The following is a 22,558-nucleotide window of genomic DNA, read 5'->3' on the forward strand; positions in this document are numbered from 1 at the left end:
TTAAACACTGGCACAAGACAGGGTTGCCCTCTCTCACCAGTCCTATTCAACATAGTGTTGGAAGTCCTGGCCAGGGCAATCAGGCAGGAGAAGGAAATAAAGGGCATTCAGTTAGGAAAAGAGGAAGTCAGATTGTCCCTGTTTGCAGATGACATGATTGTATATCTAGAAAACCCCATCGTTTCAGCCCAAAATCTCCTTAAGCTGATAAGCAACTTCAGCAAAGTCTCAGGATACAAAATCAATGTGCAAAAATCACAGGCATTCTTATACACCAATAGCAGACAGAGAGCCAAATCATGAGTGAACTCCCATTCACAGTTGCTTCAAAAAGAATAAAATACCTAGGAATCCAACTTACAAGGGACGTGAAGGACCTCTTCAAGGAGAACTACAAACCTCTGCTCAATGAAATAAAAGAGGATACAAACAAATGGAAGAACATTCCATGCTCATGGGTAGGAAGAATCAATATCGTGAAAATGGCCATACTGCCCAAGGTAATTTCTAGATTCAATGCGATCCCCATCAAGCTACCAATGACTTTCTTCACAGAATTGGAAACAACTACTTTAAAGTTCATATGGAATCAAAAAAGAGCCTGCATTGCCAAGTCAATCCTAAGCTGAAAGAACAAAGCTGGAGGCATCATGTTACCTGACTTCAAACTATACTACAAGGCTACAGTAACCAAAACAGCATGGTACTGGTACCAAAACAGAGATAGAGACCAATGGAACAGAACAGAGCCCTCAGAAATAATGCCGCATATCTACAACTATCTGATTTTTGACAAGCCTGACAAAAACAAGCAATGGGGAAAGGATTCCCTATTTAATAAATGGTGCTGGGAAAACTGGCTAGCCGTATGGAGAAAGCTGAAACTGGATCCCTTCCTTACACCTTAGACAAAAATTAATTCAAGATGGATTAAAGACTTAAATGTTAGACCTAAAACCATAAAAACCCTAGAAGAAAACCTAGGCAATACCATTCGGGACATAGGCATGGGCAAGGACTTCATGTCTAAAACACCAAAAGCAATGGCAACAAAAGTCAAAATTGACAAATGGGATCTAATTAAACTCAAGAGCTTCTGCACAGCAAAAGAAACTACCATCAGAGTGAACGGGCTACCTACAGAATGGGAGAAAATTTTTTGCAACCTACTCATCTGACAAAGGGCTAATATCCAGAATTTACAAAGAACTCAAACAAATGTACAAGAAAAAAACAAACAACCCCATCACAAAGTGGGCAAAGGGTATGAACAGACACTTCTCAAAAGAAGACATTTATGCAGCCAAAAAACACATGAAAAAATGCTGCTCATCATCACTGGCCATCAGAGAAATGCAAATCAAAACCACAATGAGATACCATCTCACACACCTGTTAGAATGGCGATCATTAAGAAGTCAGGAAACAACAGGTGCTGGAGAGGATGTGGAGAAATAGGAAGGAACACTTTTACACTGTTGGTGGGACTGTAAACTAGTTCAACCATTGTGGAAGTCAGTGTGGCGATTCCTCAGGGATCTAGAACTAGAAATACCATTTGACGCAGCCATCCCATTACTGGGTATATACCCAAAGGATTATAAATCATGCTGCTATAAAGACACATGCACATGTATGTTTATTGCGGCACTATTCACAATAGCAAAGACTTGGAACCAACCCAAATGTCCATCAACGATAGACTGGATTAAGAAAATGTGGCACATATACACCATGGAATACTATGCAGCCATAAAAAAGGATGAGTTCATGTCCTTTGTAGGGACATGGATGAAGCTGGAAACCATCATTCTCAGCAAACTATCGCAAGGACAAAAAACCAAACACCGTATGTTCTGACTCATAGGTGGGTATTGAACAATGAGAACACATGGACACAGGAAGGGGAACATCACACACCGGGGACAGTTGTGTGGTGGGGATAGGGGGAAGGGATAGCATTAGGAGATACACCTAATGCTAAATGATGAGTTAATGGGTGCAGCATGCCAACATGGCATATGTATACATATGTAACAAACCTGCACGTTGTGCACATGTACCCTAAAACCTAAAGTATAATAATAATAAAATTTTTAAAAAAAGTATGTACTTTTCATTCAATGAAAGAGCAGTATTTGAGAGGCATCATTCACTGTTGTTAAAAATCCTCAATCTGCCATTTACTAGTTGTGGTAGGCAGAATACTAGCCCCCATAGATGTCAACATACTAATCCCCAGAACCTGTAACTATGTTACCTTATGGGATAAAAAGACTGCGGATGTGATTAAGTTAATCTTGAGATGGAGAGATTATCTTGGGTTATCTGGATAGGCCCAGTATAATCACAAGGATTCTTTAAAGGAGGCTCAGAATCAGAGACGATCTGATGACAGAATTAGAGGTCATAGTGATGCATGGCCACAAGCCAAGGAATGTGAGCAGGCTTTGGAAGCTGAAAAAGACAAGGAAATGTGTTTTCCCCTAGAGGCTCCGAAGGAACACATCCCTGCTCATCCATTTTAGACTTATGACCTCCAGAACTGTGTGGGAATAAATGTGTGTTTTAATTCACTTAGTTTCTGGTATTGTGTTACAATAACAATAGGAAACTAATATCTGAAGTGTTTGACCTTTTGTTGCCCAGTTACCTCAGAGCATTATTTGAGGATTAAGTGAGTTTATTCAAGGAAAGTGCTTGTCAAATACAAACACGTGTGTGTATATGTATGTGTAAAGGAAAAGAAACCTCTTTTTTGTTTTACTGCTTATTTCACTTCTGGTCACCAAAATTTGCAAGTTTTTCCTACCATGAGCACTCTTCCAACAGCAGTTAGGTGTCCTATAATTTGATTCTGTTCTAACACTGTCTGCTTGGAATTAACGTCAGATCCAGTGAGTTAAAGGCTCAGTCCCAGAAGACTACACCCCACTTTAGAGGCTACTCGCTAGTAGTAGGTTGTCATCTATACTTCTTATCTGCTGGCTGTCAATTGGGGGTTCCCATGACCTCTTCATCAAGTTTAATTATTTGCTAGTGGTGCCCACAGAACTCAGGAAGATATGTTTACCAGTTTATTATAAAGGAATTACAAAGGCTGCAGATGAATGGCCAGATGAGGAGGTACATAGGGCAAGGTCAGTGGGCAGGGGCAAGGAGCTTCCATACTCCCTCCCAGTGCTCCACCTTCCTAGCACCTCCACACGTTCAGTAACCCAGAAACACTTTCAACCCTGTCCCTTGGGGTTTCTCTGGAGGCTTCACTGTGGCCAATTGATTATATCATTCCCTCCCTGGAGATCAGGCATGGGGCTGAAAGTTCCACCCATCCAGTCACATGATTGTTTCCTCTGGTACCAGCCCCTATCTGGAGACTATCCAGGAGCCCCCAGCCATCAGTCGTCTCATTATATCTTAGTCCATTTAATGTGTTGCTGTAAGGAATACCTCGAGGCTGGGTAATTTATAAAGAAAAGAGGTTTATTTGGCTCACAGTTTTGCAGGCTGTACAAGAAGCATGGTGCCAGCATCTATGTCTGGTGAGGGCTTCAGATTGCTTCCACTCCTGGCAGAAGGTGAGGGGGAGTCAGCATGTGCAAAGACGACATGGCAAGGGAGGAAGCAAAGTGATGGAGAGGGAGGTGCCAGGCTGTTTTTCACAACCAACTATTGAAGGAACTAATAGAGTGAGAACTCACTCACACTTCCTCCCCGTGCACCTTCCAACGCAAATTAAATTATTCATGAGGGATCCACCTCCATGACTCAGACACCTCTTACTAGGTCCCACCTCCAACATTGGGCATCCAATTTCAACATACATTTGGAAGGCACAAACATTCAAACTGTAGCACGTTAACATATAAAAATGTACTTATCACTTATCTGAGACACTCATCTGAAATTCCAAGAGATTTAGGGGCTATGTGCCAGGAAAGGAAGACCAAATACATATTTCTTATTATAAATCACTCACAGTACATATACAGGTAATGTACATAAAATTATGAACTGCATTTAGAGAACTGAAGATGGTTCTAATGAAGATCAGAAAATAAAAAACGCATGCATGTGTAATTTAAGTTCAATTTTATATAATTAACAAGTATACAACTGTTAATAAAAGTCACACGTTCATGACTCTAGAAGAGACCTTAAATTTAGAGGTTAGCTAATCTAACCTTTTACCCCATAAGGATTCCGTACTATATTACTACACGGCATTTCTATACCATATCCCTATGTGCTGTCTGCCATTAGTCCATTGTTGGGTAACTTAAATGGTTAGAAATACTTCTATGCATTAAGCCAAATATAGTAACTTCTTTTTGGAACTACATCGTATAAGGATGTTTTTCCTTTTGAGAGCCCTCTCTGAAATACTGACAATGCTAATCAAGACCTTTCCTATACTCACCACCTACTATCACTTCAAGCTTTTGTACTCTAGACTAAGTTTTCCTCCCCTCCTTTTTAAAATTCTGTTGACGTAAGTTTCCATTTGCTGTTTTGAAATTTGTTACATTGGTTTCCTTGAGCTTCCTGTCAAACTAGCTTCAAAATATTTTTACTGGGGCTAGTCTGGAGTCAGTTTTTAGTCTTTCTTCACTTACATATTTGAACAGTTGACTGTTTTTGAGGGGAGAAGGGCTCTAATAGCAGGACATTGCCTTTATCCTGATTAAATGTTCTTGTCAATCATGTGATGCTCTTCAGCAGTTGCCAGGGAGTCATCATTCTGAAAACCAGATTTACTTTTTCTGTTTTTTATTCGTATTTCCACTTCTTTTAAGTTAGCAGGAAGAAATGCTGAATTCACCAATGCCTTTGGTCCCTTGTCCAGGACTTCAGAGTCACTAGAAATGGTCTGTATTTCTTATGGTAAAGTTGTGCATCTCTACAAGATTCCATAAAAGGGATTAGTAGTGTGTTTGACCTGTTGTCTTAAGCATACTCTCAGTCATCTCTTGGCATATACATGTGAATGAGGTAGCCTCATAATAACCTTGTGCTGCCTTTTCAGGAGTCACTGTTAACCTCTACTGGTCTCTTTCTCTGGATACTGGAGCATGGTGCAAGGATTCTTCAACTCTCATGAATTCACTCTCGTGAATTCCCATTATTATTGCATGCACCTTTACAAGCCCTAGAGTAACTACTAAGAAAGGCCTCATGTTGCCTTATGAGTCTCTAAGCCTCCTCAGAGTCTACGCACCTCAAGAATATTTTTATTGGATCCTTTTCCCCTCCCTAACCTCATTCCTACCTCTCTTTTTACTACTCTTCTCTCTTCTTCCTCCCCTCCTCTTTTTTTCTCTCTGTCCTCCAAATAAATGTGCAAAGTCATGCTCTGAAACTGAAGTTCCTTGTACCTAGGAGAATCCTCATCTTACTCAGCGCAAATTTGCTCCTACTGTAGTAACAGCTTTTGCTGCTGACTGATTACAACCGTTTTACTGTTGTAAGCTTCCAGCTCATGATGGTTTTAGATGTGCACTGTCCAGCACAAAGCCACTCGTCACAGCTGGCTGCTGAACACGCTGCCACACGTTGAAATGGTAATATTGTGGATATAGTAGGGTAAATAAAACGTGCTATTAAAACTCATGTCTTTTTTAAACATTGCTACTGGAAGTTTACAATTACATAGGAAGCTTATATTTCTACTGGACAGCACTTTTCAAACATTCTAAACTAAAAGGAAATATATAAAGAGATTAATTTATGCAAAGGAAAAGAGAGAAATAAATTACGTATTAAAAAGTAAAATATGGCTGGGTGTGGTAGCTCACGCCTGTAATCCCCGCACTTTGGGAGGCCAAGGCTGGCAGATCACTTGAGGCCAGGAGTTCGAGACCAGCCTGGCCAACATGGTGAAACCCCGTCTCTACTAAAAATACAAAAATTAGCTGGCTGTGGTGGCTCACGCCTGTAGTCCCAGCTACTCGAGAGGATGAGGCACAAGAATTGCTTGAAACCCAGGAGGCAGAGTTTGCAGTGAGCCAAGATGGTTGCATTGCGCTCCAGCCTGGGCGACAGAGTGAGACTCTATCTAAAAAAAAAAAAAAAAGTAAAATACATAGCAATCTTGAACCGTTTTGAGTAAGTACAAATGTCCCTGCACATCTCAGTAGTCCAGAGAGCATTGCTATATTATTCCAAAGGCTGGTGGAGGTTCATAATAATTGGCCCTGAATTGTCAAGAAGAGTAAAATTATGTTTGGAGTGATCTGTTTTTCAGTGTATAGAGGTATGTAATATATTTCATAAAGAAATTCTATCAAGAAAAGAGAAATTAAAATGCTAAATTAGCAGTTATGTTAAAAACTTGGCTATCTGGAATGATTTAGTTCTTGAGTGTTCCGATTTTTATGGTAGCAGTATTCTAATAAGACAAAGTGATAATTTTTATATGAGGGTAGTTGATAAATTTATGGGAGGAACATAAGTCATTCAACAAATAGAAACGACAGAATACTCAAAAACACTTTCTTCAGAGATTCTTCTTAATATTTGTATTATTTTTATGTGAAGTATTTATATTGAAATAATTATTTCAGAAAGAACTCATTTTTGTTTAAACCAGTATGCCAATATGATCTCTTCATTTAAGAAACTGCTGTATATGTAGTAGCTGCAATCTCAGAACTCTCAGGATATATGAACAAAGCGTATTGTGATTTATAGGAACCAGGCCATTGTCTGTGAAAAGAAAATTACTTTCCTACAGCCCTTGCTCTTATCGGGATGCTTGGCCCCTGGATGCGTAAGCCTACTGAGGGCTGAAGTTTTGGGAGTCGCCTATTCAGGGATTGCCTGACCTCTGCATCTTATAACCATATCATCCTGAGGAATTGCAGACTGATGTGGAGGCATGTGACTGCTTTTTGAATGATGTCAGAACTGTCTTGTCTTTGTTGTGATTATTGTGTATGATTGCATTTTATCCTTCATAGTCTGTCATTGATTTACAAAACGTCTCAGAAAGATGTAGTGAGTGCAATTATGGTTTCCTCAAGAAGCACCAATTGTGATTTACTTCTTCAGCTGCACACACTTCAGTTATTTTTTTCTTATATTTTCCCAAAAGTATCACTAAATCTCTTACTGTGTTAGATTTCATTGACTTTAGTGAAGTCTGATTAATATCCTTTCTCATTTAAGCCCTTCTGGGTTTTTTTTTTTTTTTTTGAGTCTCATTCATTTACTAGTTCTCTTTGAATCACGTCATTTATTTTTTCATTTAACAAATATACAGGCACTGTTTACAATATGCCAAGCACAATACAGCACTGATACAGATAACAGAAATCTTGAATTGTTGGAGAAAGTGATGGAGTTTAGAGCTAGCATGCTAGCAGTGGCACCAAACCTGCAGCAACTTGTTCATTTAGTAGACTGCAGGGCCCAGCTGTTGCTGATGAAAGTAATCACCCGTGTGAACATTATCTGTCAGGTGTGTTGAGGAAAAATCATTCGGAATCATTTCTAAGAAATAACAGCGCCAAGCACTATATTCTTAAAGCTTTCGGAGATTTACCATTGGTATGTAAGGGCTGTTTGTATCAGTTTATGTCTGTGTAAATAAAAGATTTAGATCAGAGAAATGATGGTTCCTAACCTTTTTTGGGTCATGGACCACTTTAAGGAGCTAATAAAAGCACCTTTAGATCCACTCCTTAGGGAGAAAATACATTGCACATTTGAACATACACTCAAATTTTGCCTCTAGTTGTCAAGTATTTACAGAATTTTTGAATTCCATGAAATTACCAGAGGTTAAGAACTTCTGATGTACACATAATGGTTAGAAATATAATCTTAGAACAGGCTTGACAAGATAAACTAGTTTGATATCCTTATGATTAAGACTCAGAATAAGCAAATAACTTGCCTAAAATTTTAAAACTGTAGTGTCAAAGCTAGGACTGGAATCTGTGCCCTTTGACAGTGTTTTTAACTGAAATGGTGTGGAGTGATTTCATGAAGGAAGTTATGTGTAAGTTTGGCCATATGTTTGTGGCAAGATTTTAACAAGTGCAAATGATTGGAGCTTAGATCATTGTCAACATGAGCAAAGACATTCAGGAAAATGCAAGGTGTATTTGGGTAAAAGTGAGTGATGTAGAGTTGATAGTGTGTGTTGAGAAGGTAAGGTGGAATAGGGAACAGTGAATAATAAATTGAATAAATTTAGTCTATATTTTTAAAGGATTTTGACTATTCAGCTGTAGGGTTGAACACCATTTTGTAAGACAGGTATGGGGACTCATACATTTATACTATTTTGATTATTATTATTATTATTGAATAGGAGAATAAACTAATTAAAGCAGAAATTAATGTAACTGAATTAAGGGCTAGAGACAAGGGATTAAGGAGTAATTTAGGGATTAGCTACAGGACTGTTATAGGAGGTGGGTGAAAGAAAAAGTACATAAATAAATTGTAGCAATAAGAATGGAAAAAAGGGCCGGGCGCGGTGGCTCACGCCTGTAATCCCAGCACTTTGGGAGGCCGAGGCGGGTGGATCATGAGGTCAGGAGATCGAGACCATCCTGGCTAACAAGGTGAAACCCCGTCTCTACTAAAAATACAAAAAATTAGCCGGGCGCGGTGGCGGGCGCCTGTAGTCCCAGCTACTCGGGAGGCTGAGGCAGGAGAATGGCGTGAACCCGGGAAGCGGAGCTTGCAGTGAGCCGAGATTGCGCCACTGCAGTCCGCAGTCCGGCCTGCGCGACAGAGCGAGACTCCGCCTCAAAAAAAAAAAAAAAAAAAAGAATGGAAAAAAGAAAGTAGGGACAAGGCATTGTATGGATTATAATGTAGCAGAATCTGTATTTTAATGTGTTAGGTTAATGTGTAACTAGGGATATCATGTTACATATCTGTAAATGAGTGGTAAAAGTAAAAATATTTACATTTATATTTAGATTAATACTTTGTCCAATAATCTTTCTGAACATAGTTATAGCAGAAGTCACAATTGATTCAGCTTGGACTTAATGGATATATTACCACGGATTCAGACTTCACATATAGAGAAATGCTCATTAATTTGGAATAACCTAATTAAATAATGTAGTTCATTTAGTAATCTAGTGGCTAAAATTTAACAGTCTTTACTTCTTATATAGCCAGTTTCAAGAGGGTTCGCAATTTGGTCAGGAAGAGTTTCAGACGTTTTAAAGAAAATATTATCCAAGGAAAGCAATTTTGCTAAATATTATATCTAAAAGGCTATAAAAAGGGCTATTGAGATATAATGTCTAGAAAACCAGTTTGCTTTTTCTCCTAAGCGTAATATTAGCTTCAAAAAAAGTGACTCAGTGCAGTTGAACATTCACTTACTAAACATAATTAACCGTCTCTTATTATAAAGTTAATACTATGGGCTATTGTGATGTCATGATTGCTTTTGGTTTTAACTTGCTTCATTTTACCTTGATCTCCTTTCCACATTTCGTTCAGTTGAAAAGGAGATGTATGAAAATGTTTATTATGATTTCAGAAAAATATGGAGGACACTTTGTAAGTTGAGGAAATGAAGAAGGCATGTTAGTGGTTTTTTCAAAAGTTAGTTTGTGGTATTTTGCATTAGAAAGTTGTTTCAAGTCTGTCTAAATATAAGTCAGGAGAACATTTTTATTCGAAGTAGCAGGAGAAATGGAAGGTGGAGATGTTCAAATTTAGGTCATCTTAAAATTATCTTATTGGGAAACCATTCGCCTGTATGTAGAGGGCATGAAGCCACATATCAGCTGTTTATATTAATTTTCTTATCTGAATATATTTAATCCCATCCCTAATGTCAGCTTTATTGTGTAGTTTCTTCTTATTTTAAATACCTAGTAAAATAGAGTATCAACATTTCTACCTAAAACAATGTTATATTAATGAAATTGGAGTCATTCCTCCTCTTTTGGGTGTGCTGGTATAAACTTGTCTGCCTAGTTACCACTTCTTAGAGGGTAGATTTTAGATATATATAATTTTCAGTTGGTGGTGTTAGCTTTTGTTAGGTGAGAACTCAGAACTAACTTGTTCCTCTTGCTTTTTAGAAAGCTGCTTGGATTAACTTGTGATAAACATCAGACTTCATGCATACAAAGCCTTGCTATGATGTAAGACACTGATGGTAATAGTTTTTCCAGGGTTAGTTTTTAGTTTATGTGTTATCCAGAACTTTATTGTAGAATTTGTCCATAATAAATGTTTACCATCATTTCTAAATATATATGGAATGCCTATTACCCTGAACCTAAGATAGAAAATGCTGGTTTTTTGTTTTGTTTTGTTTTGTTTTTAATGCAGATAACAAGTGAGAAGGAAAGAGTTAAAAGATGTGCAAATTAGTTCAGGCCAGATGAATTGCCCCTATATGAGGCAAGGTTGGTATCTGCAGTGGTGAAATTGTGGCAGTGCCATCATAGTTCTCAGTAGTTAACTTTTTCTCTTTTTTTTCTTTTCTTTTCTATAGGTGACATGAGAATTTTTCAGATTTCAAAAAAGACATGGTTTGGCTATTTCTTAACAAGGTTAAACAGATACTTATGATATAACCCAGCAACCCCACTGCTAGATATTTACCCAAGAAAAATGAAGTTATTTGTCCATACAAAAATACTCTCTGTAAATGTTGCCAGTAGCTTTCTTCATAATCACCCAAAGACATTTGGTAACAACCCAAATGTCTGGCAGCTGGTGATTGGATAAACAAATTGAGATACATCCATATAATGGAATATAACTTAACAATAAGAAGGATCAAAGTACCGATATGTCCAACAACATGGACGAAACTTAAAAGCATTTATACTAAGTAAAAGATACTAGAATCAGAAGTTTATATATTCTGTGATTCCATTTACATGGCATTCCGTAAAATAAAACTGGGGACAGAAATCATATCCATGGTTACCATGGAGGGAGGGGGATTGGAGTAGGCGATTGATTTCAGAGGGGCCTGACTTTTTGGTGTGATAGAAATGTTTCCTGTCTTGAAGTGTAGTGTTCACACAGCTGTATAAGTTTTTCAAAACCCACAGAACCATCTGAAAAGGTGAATTTAACTATATGTAAATTATACTTCGAAAAATGAATAAGAAAAGACACAGTTTAATAGTAGTCACCCCTTATCCACAGTTTCACTTTTCAAGGTTTCAGTGACCTGTGGTCAACTGCCTCTCAAAATATTAAGTGGAAAATTCCTGAAATAAACAATTTATAAGTTTTATATGGCATGATGCTCTGAGTATGGTGATGAAATCTCACACAGACCTGCTGTATTCTGCCCAGGGCGTGAACCTTCCCTTTGTCCATAGATCCATGCTGTCTACACTCTCTGCCCGTTAGGCACTTCGTAGCCATCTCAGTGATCAGATCAGCGTCCTGCTATTGCAGCACTTGTGTGCAAGTAATCCTTACTTTACCTCATAGTGACCCAGAAGCACAAGAGTAGTGATATTGGCATATTGTTCCAATTGTTCTGTTTTATTAGAGATTATTCTTAATCTCTTACTATGCCTAGTTTATAAATTAAAATTTATAAGGGGTATGTATTATTGGAAAAAACATATATAGGGTAGGTACCGTCCGCAGTTTTAGGCATCCACTTACATAATGGGGGACCTTGGAATGTATCCCCTGTGAATAATGGGGGCTACTGTACATCTACCATATATTACAAAACACCCCCCGTGGAGACTGGGGCTGTACTATGTAACAGTGATATTTTTGTAGTGAAATATATGACAGCTGTGCTGTGTAGCTGTGTACACTAAATGGGTCAAGTTTTGCTGCCATCTGAGTTTTTAGAGCTTTTTGGGTTTCAGATTTGCAAACAAGGGAGTGTGAATTGATGGCTGTAGAAAAAGGACCTGTGATATAGAACAAAATGTAAAAACTATTGCCAAGTTGTTTTGGATCAAATAGGGAATTTACTTTTCCTGATTTAAATCACTTTTTATGCAGCAGACACTGTGATGGTAAAAAAAAAAAAAAAAAAAAAACACATACACACACACACACACACACACACACACACAAAAAAAAAAAAACAAACTAATATCCCACTTCCCCCAGCCCCTAGCTGCCATTAACACAGATAGTTGATGGCTTAAATAATAGTGGTTGTCCTGAGCTCCCAGACTGAACACATAGCATCATAACCTGCCATGCTTAGAGAGTTCCCTCCCTCCTTCCGTCTTCCTTTCCTCCTTTTTTGTTTTCTTTTTAATATATCAAAAAGTTCTTTCATGTGTACTGTGGTCACAAAGGCTGTTTTCTTTTAAAGTACCGGCACACTTTGCAGAAAGTCCCACTGGTTAACAGCTTCTAGAGGAACACCTCTTTTACCTTTTAATATCCAATTTAAAGAATGTATGTATTTGATAATACCCTCTTTTTTTGGCCGATGTGTATTTATTGAGACACCTATTGATGGCTACAATTGACACCACATCAGAAACAAGTACAAATGATTGGAAACCCTGCTAAGTGTCAGGAAATGGGATGTGTATCTTAGATGTTACTCGTACTAAGAGAGGTCATATTACTGCCTCCTGCATAAAGCTTTTACAAAGCTTTTATTATATGAGTGTTATATTGTGTTTTTGAAATGTTTTAGGACATTGATTGAGGTTTTTGTGTTGACATTTAATATATTACAATTTTTAAGACATGAAAATAATATATAAATTTTATGACATAAAATTATGACATAAAAATTTTAATATAGGATAATAGAGTTGTATTTGGGGCCTTTTACCTTTTGGATTTTTTTTTTTTTTTTTTTTGAGCAGGAGTCTTGCTCTGTTGCCCAGGCTGGAGTGCAGTGGTGCGATCTCAGCTCACTGCAACCTCTGCCTCCCAGGTTTAAGAAATTCTCTGTCTCAGCCTCCCGAATAGATGGGATTACAGGCACGTGCCACCACGCCCAGCTAATTTTTTTGTGTTTTTAGTAGAGAGGAGGTTTCACCATCTTGACCAGGCTGGTATTGAACTCCTGACCTCGTGATCCACCCTTCTGGGCCTCCAAGGCGCTGGGATTACAGGTGTGAGCCACCGCACCCGGCCTGGAATTTTTTTTCACAGCTGCTATGCAGGGGTCGGGGGGTTCATTTCCGTTTTCCTAAAGAATTGGAAAGCTTCTCAAATAATAACTTCGTAGTTTGTCTCTAGTTCCATACTTTGGTGAGCTTTTTTTCTTTTAAAAAAATGTTGTAACAAGTCTATAAAGATTAGAATTATTGAAAAAGTAACTTTCTTTTGAAAGAGCTGGTTTTTATTTACCTTCTAGTTAAAACATTACCAAAAGTTTAGAATTGTTAACCAAGTAGATAGTACAGGTTGGGTAAAATTGTTTAACTGCTTACTCTACAATTTTCAGGTACTACTTTTTATAACAATTTAGTAGAGTGTTTTTTCTCAAATAACTTTGTTTTGTTTTAAGTCTGTTTAAAGCAACATTAAAACCATCTTAGAAAAACTGCTTACCAATACTAAGAATCAAATACAGGATGGAAGTTTAAGAGTTGAAACTTTAGAAATCGTTTAACCTGTTCATTTTCCAGATGACAGTAAAATGAAGGTTCTGTGAAGCATGAAGTGGTTTACCCAAGGTCACACAAGTAAACTAGTGGCAGAGCTAGAACTCATTCTAGATCTGTTATTCAGTCCAGCATTTTTTATTTCACATGTTTCATGGTAATGAAGTAGTTGTTTGGTGTTCAGTAAGGAAAAAAAAAGCTTATGTTTTGGTAGTGATAATTTTAAGAGTAAAGAATATGGAAAATGGTTATTAGGGTAAAAGGTAACTTCTTATATGCTCATTAAAAACACTGCAAAGTTTCGTGGTCCAATAGAAGTTTCAGCTCTTCTGGTGAATGGTCTCTCTGCAATGTTCAGTATAGAGGTACTAGCTAGTTACCTGTGCCTACTGAATACCTGAAATATGGCTGGTGTGACTGATGAACAGAATTTTTATTTTTATATAATTTAATTGTAAGTGTTGAGGGGAGTGGCTAAAATATTGGACAATGTAGAGATTATGTTGGTACTAAGCAGAGTGATGTTAGCTAGTTTAAAAGGTCAAGGTTCCAGGAGACAAGGAAAGGGTCTCTACCAGGAAAATACTCTGTTCAAACTTAGAATTTAAGGACAACAAACAACTGTGTTTAGAATGGATGTTCAGTGTTTAGATTGGCCATGATTCTAGACTTAATTGGTGGTATGGACTTTGAAGCCAGTATCATAATGAGTAGAAATATCTGATGGGATTAAAAAGTACAAAGAAGGCATTGAGAGCTGTGATAACTTTGTAATTTACCCCAGTTGTTCTGAATATATTTTTGAAAGATCCTGGAGCAAAATAATACAGGTGTGTCTGGAGCCCATGTTTAAGTATAGCAGAGTATCAGTCTGTCTGAATATTGCTTTGAGAGGAAGACCTAACTCTAATTCTTGAGATTAGATTACTTCCTGGTGCTTTAGCTGAATTCCTTCCACAGCCACATAGCTGGTTTTTAATTTTCAAATCTACTAGTGAAAACATGATGGAATATATAACCTAAATTAATATTTTATTCTTCATATAGGTTGTCAGTTTAGCTACAAGAATCAATTCATCTCTTAATTTGCTGGTACCTTGATGAGAAAACATCTATATCAGTGTTATCAATTCATGGTACTACTTAGCACTCTGGAATATAAGAGTCCCCACATTAACCTGAGAATTGAGATTCTAGACTGAAGTCTTTACATACTTCTTCCCTTGAGATGCTTGATAAGTTCAGAAATTAAGGTATGCTATGGAAAATGCAAAATGGATTCATCATTGGAATAGACCTCAGTGAATTTTCTTTATTCCTGAAATTCCCTTGGCCCAATAGCCTTTGCTTGCAAGCTCATCTGTAAATTTAAATGCTTTAAAGTAGTTTTGATGAACATTTTTTGCTTGTTATATTGATGTGATTAACCTAGTTAAAGCTAATAATTGTCATTATTTTTTAAGTTGTTTGATTGTTATTACTATTTGTTACTCTCTCCTTTTGCTTACATGTCTTTTTCCAGAACTCAGATTTGTTAGTTTGTGCTCACATTTTAGCCTAGTGCAGGGCCTGACAGATAATGGATAATACTTAGTGAAACCTAAGACAATCTGTTTAACTGCCTTGACACCAATTTCAGATGATCCCTTAGGAGAGTGGTTCTGAAATTGGGGTTGAGGTGACACGGAGAAAGGGTGACTTTCAAATGACATTCCTCTACTTTTATATAATGCAAAGTGTTACTGATAGGTTTGGATACCATGCATAATGGTTGAAAGAGAAAAGTCAGAATTTTTTTTTTTTTTTTTTTTTTTGAGATAGAGTTTCTCTCTTGTTGCCCAGGCTGGAGTGCAATGGCACAATCTCAGCTCACTGCAACCTCTGCCTCCCGGATTCAAGAGATTCTCCTGCCTCAGCCTCCTGAGTAGCTGGAATTACAGCATCCACCACCATGCCTGGCTAATTTTTTGTGTTTTTAGTAGAGATGGGGTTTCACCATGTTGGCCAGGCTAGTCTCGAACTCCTGACCTCAGGTGATCCACCTGCTTTGGCCTCCCAGTGTGTTGGGATTACAGGTGTGAGCCACCATGCCTGGCCCAGAATTCTTTTTTAGCCTCTCATTGCTTTAAGAATTTGTGGTTCTATGTTCATAGTCTTTCCATGCTATTCCATCTCAACAAAACCAAATGACTTATTTTTACAAAACTAAGTCTACCTTCATCCTGTCAGTTTCTGAAGGGGCAAAAGCACTTACAATGTTAAAATTGAGATAAGTCAGTAATCATGACTTCTCCTTAGTGATTTAAGTTTTCTTCATTTTTACTCAAAAAGTAATTTTGCCTTTACACTAAGTGAAAGAGAAGCTGTTTCTGACTACTCCAGAAAAATAAAAAGAGCTTTATTTTTCAGCTTTGTTTTAATAACATAGCTCTTTAACACATAAGCCTCGTATTTCTCCCTCTCTCTCTCTCTGTGTGTGTGTGTGTGTGTGTGTGTTTGTGTGTGTGTATGTATCTTTGCTTCTTTCATATCATTACTATTTTACCAGTAAAAACAATTTAGATTTTGGAAAGTAAACTTTTTGGCTTACTTTCAAAAATTCCATTTACTTTTATTTTAATAGAAAATGTTTTAAGCCATCTATTTTCTTCATTCCTGGTTGCTATTATCTTGACTATAATTGCCTAGTTTCCTTTCTGGCTGATCTATTACTAGTCTTTATCTGGATGTTATTAAAGAATATAAATGCTCCATAGAGCACCATAGTCTCAGCCAGAATATTTTCAGATTCTCAGCTAAGATGAAAGAGAACTGGTGCTTTGGCTGTTAAGTAAGTAGCTCAGATTTGTTATCAGAGTGTGAGGGGCTCTAAATTCATTATGTTAGCTGTTCCTGGGAGCTAGCGTTTGAAAAATCGCTTCAGCTGTTTATGGATTGTGGTCCTTGGGCACCAGATAGTGGATGCTAGAATGTATTGCAGAAAAGCTGATTAAAGTACTAGGATCTCTAGCAGGAAGAGTAGAAAGTCATTTGTAATACCTGTGTCTGACTCTGTTGGATGCACTTAATATATTTCCTTTTGAAAGCTTTGGTTTATTATCAGCTTATCCGGGAAGGAATAGCATTTTTGCAAAAATGTGCCTTTTGGTGAAAACATCAATAAACTATGCTTGATGAGAAGTTCAGGTAGGGAGAGACTGATTTGAACTTTGAGGTTCCTAAATACTTTGCGGTTTTATTACCACTCTTATTGGAGTCATGTTTCACTACGACTTAAATTTCAATAGTAGCTACTTTTAAGTTCACAGTTTTAATGTGTTTTTACTGTCTATCAGGGAATTTATACTTTAAAATGTAGACTGTCAGAATTTACTTTTTTTTTTGCCCACCTTCCTCTCCAACAAAAGTTTGCTGAAGTACAGTATGGAAGTATTTTATGTAATCACAAAACTTGCAGCTTTTTAAGTATACTTTGCACTACCCTTGTTAAAATATTGCAGTATTTTCTCATTACTTTCAAAGTAAAGTTCAAACTTCTTAGCTTAGAGAGACATTCATGATGTTTCCATTTCTTCTCTGTCTCGTCCATACCCATTCCCCTGTGAGTGTCCTTTGCTTCAGATACACAGAGCTACTTACAACCATTCCCCTTCTCCTTTCTTTCACTGTGGTAGCTTCCTTCTCCCTGACCCTGCTTCACCTGAGGATTACTTGTCCTTCCTTCAAAACTGCTCAAGTTTCCCCTCTTCCAGGAAGGCTTCCTTGACCCCCAACTACCCTTCCAATCATTAATCCCATTTACACTGGCTGGTAAGCTCTCTAACATTTCATACAATTTCTTTACTGTAATCATTTATTTATTTGTCTGTCTCCTTTAATAGAATAATATTCCTTGAGGTCAGAGATGATAGTGTCTTTCGCGTTAAAATCTGGCATACAGGCCTATTGAAGAAATGTGACTCTACGAAATTAATACATTTTATAGATACATTGCGTAATTTGATTTACTTTGATCCTGGTTCTGTAGACATTTGGGGGCATGGGTTATGCCATTTTCCTCACAAGGAGCTTTTAAAGTTGACTCTCTAACTTCCATATTGCTACCTAAAATGTTTAACAAAGGTAGGTCTTGGGCTTTGGGAAGGCAGGAACTTAAATAGATGGAGGATATAATGAAATGACCTTTACTCTGTCAGTTGGCTAAAAAATCTGAAATACAATTTATGGGAAATTAGAAAGACCAACTCTATGACCATGAAATCATATATTCTAGCTTATATTCTTAAACTTATAACTTTATTGGTATACAAAGTTCTTTTAAGAGAAAATAGGTATTTAACAACTTTTTACTTTGAAAATACCTGGTTATAGTTTTCAGATTTTAACCTAATCTTAATCCAGGAGGCAAGACAAAATTAAAGCTAAAGAATATTTGCTAATAATGGGTTATAGCATTTAAGTATGTATTTGGTAGCCTTGAGATGTCTTTGTAATATTTGCATCAATATTCTGCATTCTTTAGCAAAACAAAATGCGAAGTCCATATTTACACATAAGATTTTTTAAAAGTTACTTAATATTATTTCATAATAGAATAACATTTTCATTTAGTCTAATGTTTTATTATATGAGCACTTAGTATTTGCTTTCATGTAATTATTTGTTGAGATACTTTGTATAATTATTTCTTTAGTGATGTAGCAAACTAAGTCAGTGTATTACAGCTGAATCATAGTCCTGGCTGTTCTTTTTATTTACTGAAGGAACAAACACTGTATTATTAACATTCCTTGTCCTTCAATTGAGCTTGCAAAAGAAATTTGTTTGTTAGATCTTGAATACCCTAAGAAATGTATTATGGATGGTTTTTAATTATATTTCTATTTTCATCATTTGATATATTTTTAAAATCTTGTGATAAAATAGAATGGGGGAAAATTACCCATGTCGCAGTAGTTAGATATCTGCTCATTCTCAAAGACCCCAACCTCCTTTTAAAAAATATTTTAAGATTTATTATATGTTAAAATTGGTATTGAATTTATATGAAGTATTAAGATTACAGCATGTCAGAATATTATTGCCATTTAAGAATGTATTCACTGTTTTGGTTTTTGGAGCACCGCCTCCAAGAGGTTCATGGCATTTGGTACGTAGTTCACGTATTTCTAGTCTACAGACCTTGCCTATCGAGTCAAAGCCTTCGTGGTTCTGATATTTGCATTTTCTACTGCTATAAAGCTCAACAATAGTAATTAATGTTTTTTTTTTAACTTTCCATGTCATTACCAATAAAACTTCAGTTTTTAGAAGACTAGTAATTTGTACCTTTAAAGAGCCACATTATTTTGCTTTTGTCTCAGAATGTATTATGCTTCCCAAGTATACTGTGACAGCCTGAATAGAGAAAAGGGGGGAGGGGACATTGTCTTCAGCTGGCATGCTGTTATCAGAGGGAATGTGTTTCTGGACACGAGATTTAGCATTCATTGGTTGTCTGAAGAAAGCTATTTCATCTGAGGATTGGACAAGAAGCTGCGTCAATTTGCTGCCCGTCTCCAAGGCACTGGTGATGCTGCCTTCACAAGCTGGCTAACGTCACGGCTCCATCACCCAGCGGGGTGTGGACTCTCTTTTTCTGTTCTTCTCTATTTAATTCTCTATTTGCTGCCTACTGCATTTCTTAATCTGTCTTCTGCCAAATGCTAACAGCATGATATTTTGCAATCATCTAGGTGAATACAAGAAAGACGAACTCCTAGAAGCTGCTAGGTAAGTGATTCCATTCATTTTAAGTGTATATAATGCATTAAGGAAGAGAAGGAGGAGGGCAGGTGGAGGACTATAAAAAATATAACGTTATTGTCTTGCTTGGATTTTATGCAATTATGCAGATACTAAATCTTTATGTACTTTATATCATTATTGTATATAATAAAATCTTTTCATGTGGTGATGATTATAAGGTTAATTTTATTTGGAACATTTCCTAAGGTACCTGTAAACCCTAGTTGCCCAGCTTTTCCAGCGATATTCTTGGAGTATTTAAATACCTATATCTTCATTTTCATCTGAAGATTTTTCTAGCAAAGCTTGAATGAAGAGCAAAAAGTAAATGTTAAAATCCTCATCTATTTTTTTTGTGTTCTTGGTCGTTTATAATTTAATTGATTAGCTCTTTACAGCATTTTGTATGTATTTTTAACTCCAACGTTTTAGTCTATTTATCAGAATAAAGTTTGTTTGTAATTAAGAAGATGACTTTATGTAGATAAATAAAACAAAAATGTAGAAAGCTATGTTATTTAAGATATACCACTATAGGGTAATTAACAGGAATTAATTAGAAATATATTAATTGAATTGAATATTGCAAAAGAGATTTATTGTGATCCATGTAAAAGAAATCAAAGCAAACCCATATTTTACTCTCGTGTGAAAAAATTATGCATAAATATTCATAAGAAGCTTTGTAATTTTAGAGGAATTGACTTACTACCTTTTTATAGGAGTGGTAATGAAGAAAAACTAATGGCTTTACTGACTCCTCTAAATGTGAATTGCCATGCAAGTGATGGGCGAAAGGTAAGTTATTTTAAATACAATCCTCTTTAATTGCAATGCTTCAAAATTTTGTGAATGTGGCATATATATATATAAGCACGTATACCTACATGGCTTTATTTTAACTGGCATCTTTTCACTGTAAATGAAATGCTACTATATCTGTTATTGGCAGTTGTGACACATTCATAGAACTGGTGAAGCATGGATCTTAAGTAAGCCTTTTCTCTTAAATGTCAGACACAGCAAGTTATTTGTTACATGAAACTGCAGTTTTGTCGGTGATTAAAATTACAGCATATGCTCTTTTCTGGGTATGATAATGGAAACTGGAAATATGAGTGTCCTATTTACCCATCTTTGTTAAGACATTTGTGTTTTTGATTTCTTATTTGGCAGAAGAAGATTTGTTTGCTAGATACCAACACTTTTTCCATTAAAGCTGAGAAATTGCTGTTAATGATTTTTTTACATCTATGTAACAGCTCTGCTCTTTTATTATTATTTGTACTGGCTAAGTTTTAGTTGTGGAATATTGAAAGAAAATAGATTAAAACAGAGAGGAATATTCTATATTAATATGCAGTTGCCATAAATGTAAGGTAATATATAAAATATACAGCTGGCAGCTTCATTATCTACTTTGTATTCTTGCTGAAGATAGACTGAAATGTAATCCTTTATGGCTTTGGTAATTGCAGAGTTTTGTAGTGATTTACGTAATAGACATTGAAAACCAATGCACTCTGTACCATAAAGTTGGTTTTTTTTTAAATGAGAGTTAATTTTTTAATGTTAACTAAAAACCTAAAACATTTTTAAAGACACATTACAAAAATTGAGGAAAATTGTATGTCTGATATTTAGAAATGAATTCTTTTGAAATTATTTACAGTGAAAATGTTACGGCAAATATCAGGATGGATGGTACCCCTTAGAAATAATAAATTATTTTGCTTTTAAAAAATTACTTTTCTGTGAGTGATAATTTTGCAGATCAGATTTTTGCAAGCTTCCCCACTTTTTCTCTATTTTAATGAAATCCAAAAATAGTGGCAAGGAATTGAGTCCCTCGGAATATAATTTACGTTCATTTGTTTTTGTAGATAGCTTATATATCGTTACATGGCCCAGTGAGTATTTTGTTTCTCTGGGTAATTTGGGGAGAGACTTCTACTTTCATAGAAGGTTAAATTACACATATCAAGCCATAAACTAGCAAAGATTTACTCAGCACTATTAGTTACTCTTGGGAAGTGTTTTTAAATGGTAACTGTTCATTTTTCCTTCAGTTTTGAAGTTGCTTTAGGGAATTTCACACTCTTGTGTGCACTTGAAACTCCAGATTTTATTTGGATTCTCCAAGTAGATAAAGTGATTTCTATCACTGTGTAGAAAAGGGCCTTCTTATCTGTGGTTAAATGCAGCTGTTTTTTAGACAGAGCTTGTTTCGCCCGGCCTACGTCACTTTTCTATAACTGTTTTAATACTACAGAACTTATGTGAGATTTCTACAGCCGGAGTCGATTTCTGTCACAGCCTCGTTTTCCCTTCCTTACCCTTCTACTTTGACAGCCACATTCCTAGTGCAATAAATCATAATAATTAAGGAACATGATCCCTGATATTTAACAAATTCTCTCTTCTCCCTGCTTCATCTCCTACACAAATGTATAGAACTCATTTATTTTTCCTTTTCCTTAAAGGAGAATATACTTCCTTTAACTAGAACCAATGTATTCCTCATCCAAATTCTTGTGGCTCCTTTTCTATATTACTCTGTGGCACTTAGAGTTCCTTAAAGTTCATAAATATCTTTTTCTTTTACTCCTCTACTAGCTCTTCTTGTATTTTGCACCAGGACCAAGGCTGGCACTTTGCATATAGCAGAAGCTTAGAATAGAACTTTGTTGTTCCTTGATAAACATAATTTTATCCTCTGAGTGAGAAAAACATCTACCCTTTGCCATTTAGAAAATTAAATCAGAAGTATGTGAATGCGATATTTTATGTTTTTTGTTATTATTACTAATATTATTATATTAATTTATTTTGGGGTACTGTTAACATGAGGGAGAACCGTATAATTTATAATGTATAGAACATTTTTAAGAACGTACCTCAAGCATTATTATTGTACCAAAAGATTCCTAAAATATAAATAATGCAATAATGTTCCAAAATGTACTCATACTTTTTTAGATTATCAGGGTTTTTTTCAAATTAAATTAGATAGAAAAAATTAAACTTAAGCATTTATTAGGTTTTAGTGCTATGCATATAAGAAATAATTAACAATTGCTCATCTGTGTGGTTTGAATTGAATAATTCCTATTTAGATATTATTCTCATTTACGGCACAGAGTAATTCTTATTAAATGTACCAGTTGCAGTAAAGCCACAGGGTGTTAAATGTTCTGGGTGCTAATGGAGATTGGGAC

General features: G+C 36.1%; 1 protein-coding gene across 3 annotated transcripts in view; it reads left to right on the top strand.

The window, feature by feature from the left end:
- Nucleotides 1-22,558, top strand: part of TNKS (tankyrase) — a 226,435-nt gene that overhangs the window by 104,751 nt on the left and 99,126 nt on the right. For all 3 annotated transcript variants that reach the window (NM_003747.3, XM_011543845.4, XM_011543846.4), the window contains exons 4-5: nucleotides 19,289-19,325; nucleotides 20,063-20,138. In NM_003747.3, the coding sequence (NP_003738.2) occupies nucleotides 19,289-19,325; nucleotides 20,063-20,138 (113 nt within the window). The remainder of the gene's footprint in view (nucleotides 1-19,288; nucleotides 19,326-20,062; nucleotides 20,139-22,558) is intronic.

Source organism: Homo sapiens, chromosome 8, assembly GCF_000001405.40.
Source record: "Homo sapiens chromosome 8, GRCh38.p14 Primary Assembly".
Lineage (NCBI taxonomy): Eukaryota > Metazoa > Chordata > Mammalia > Primates > Hominidae > Homo > Homo sapiens.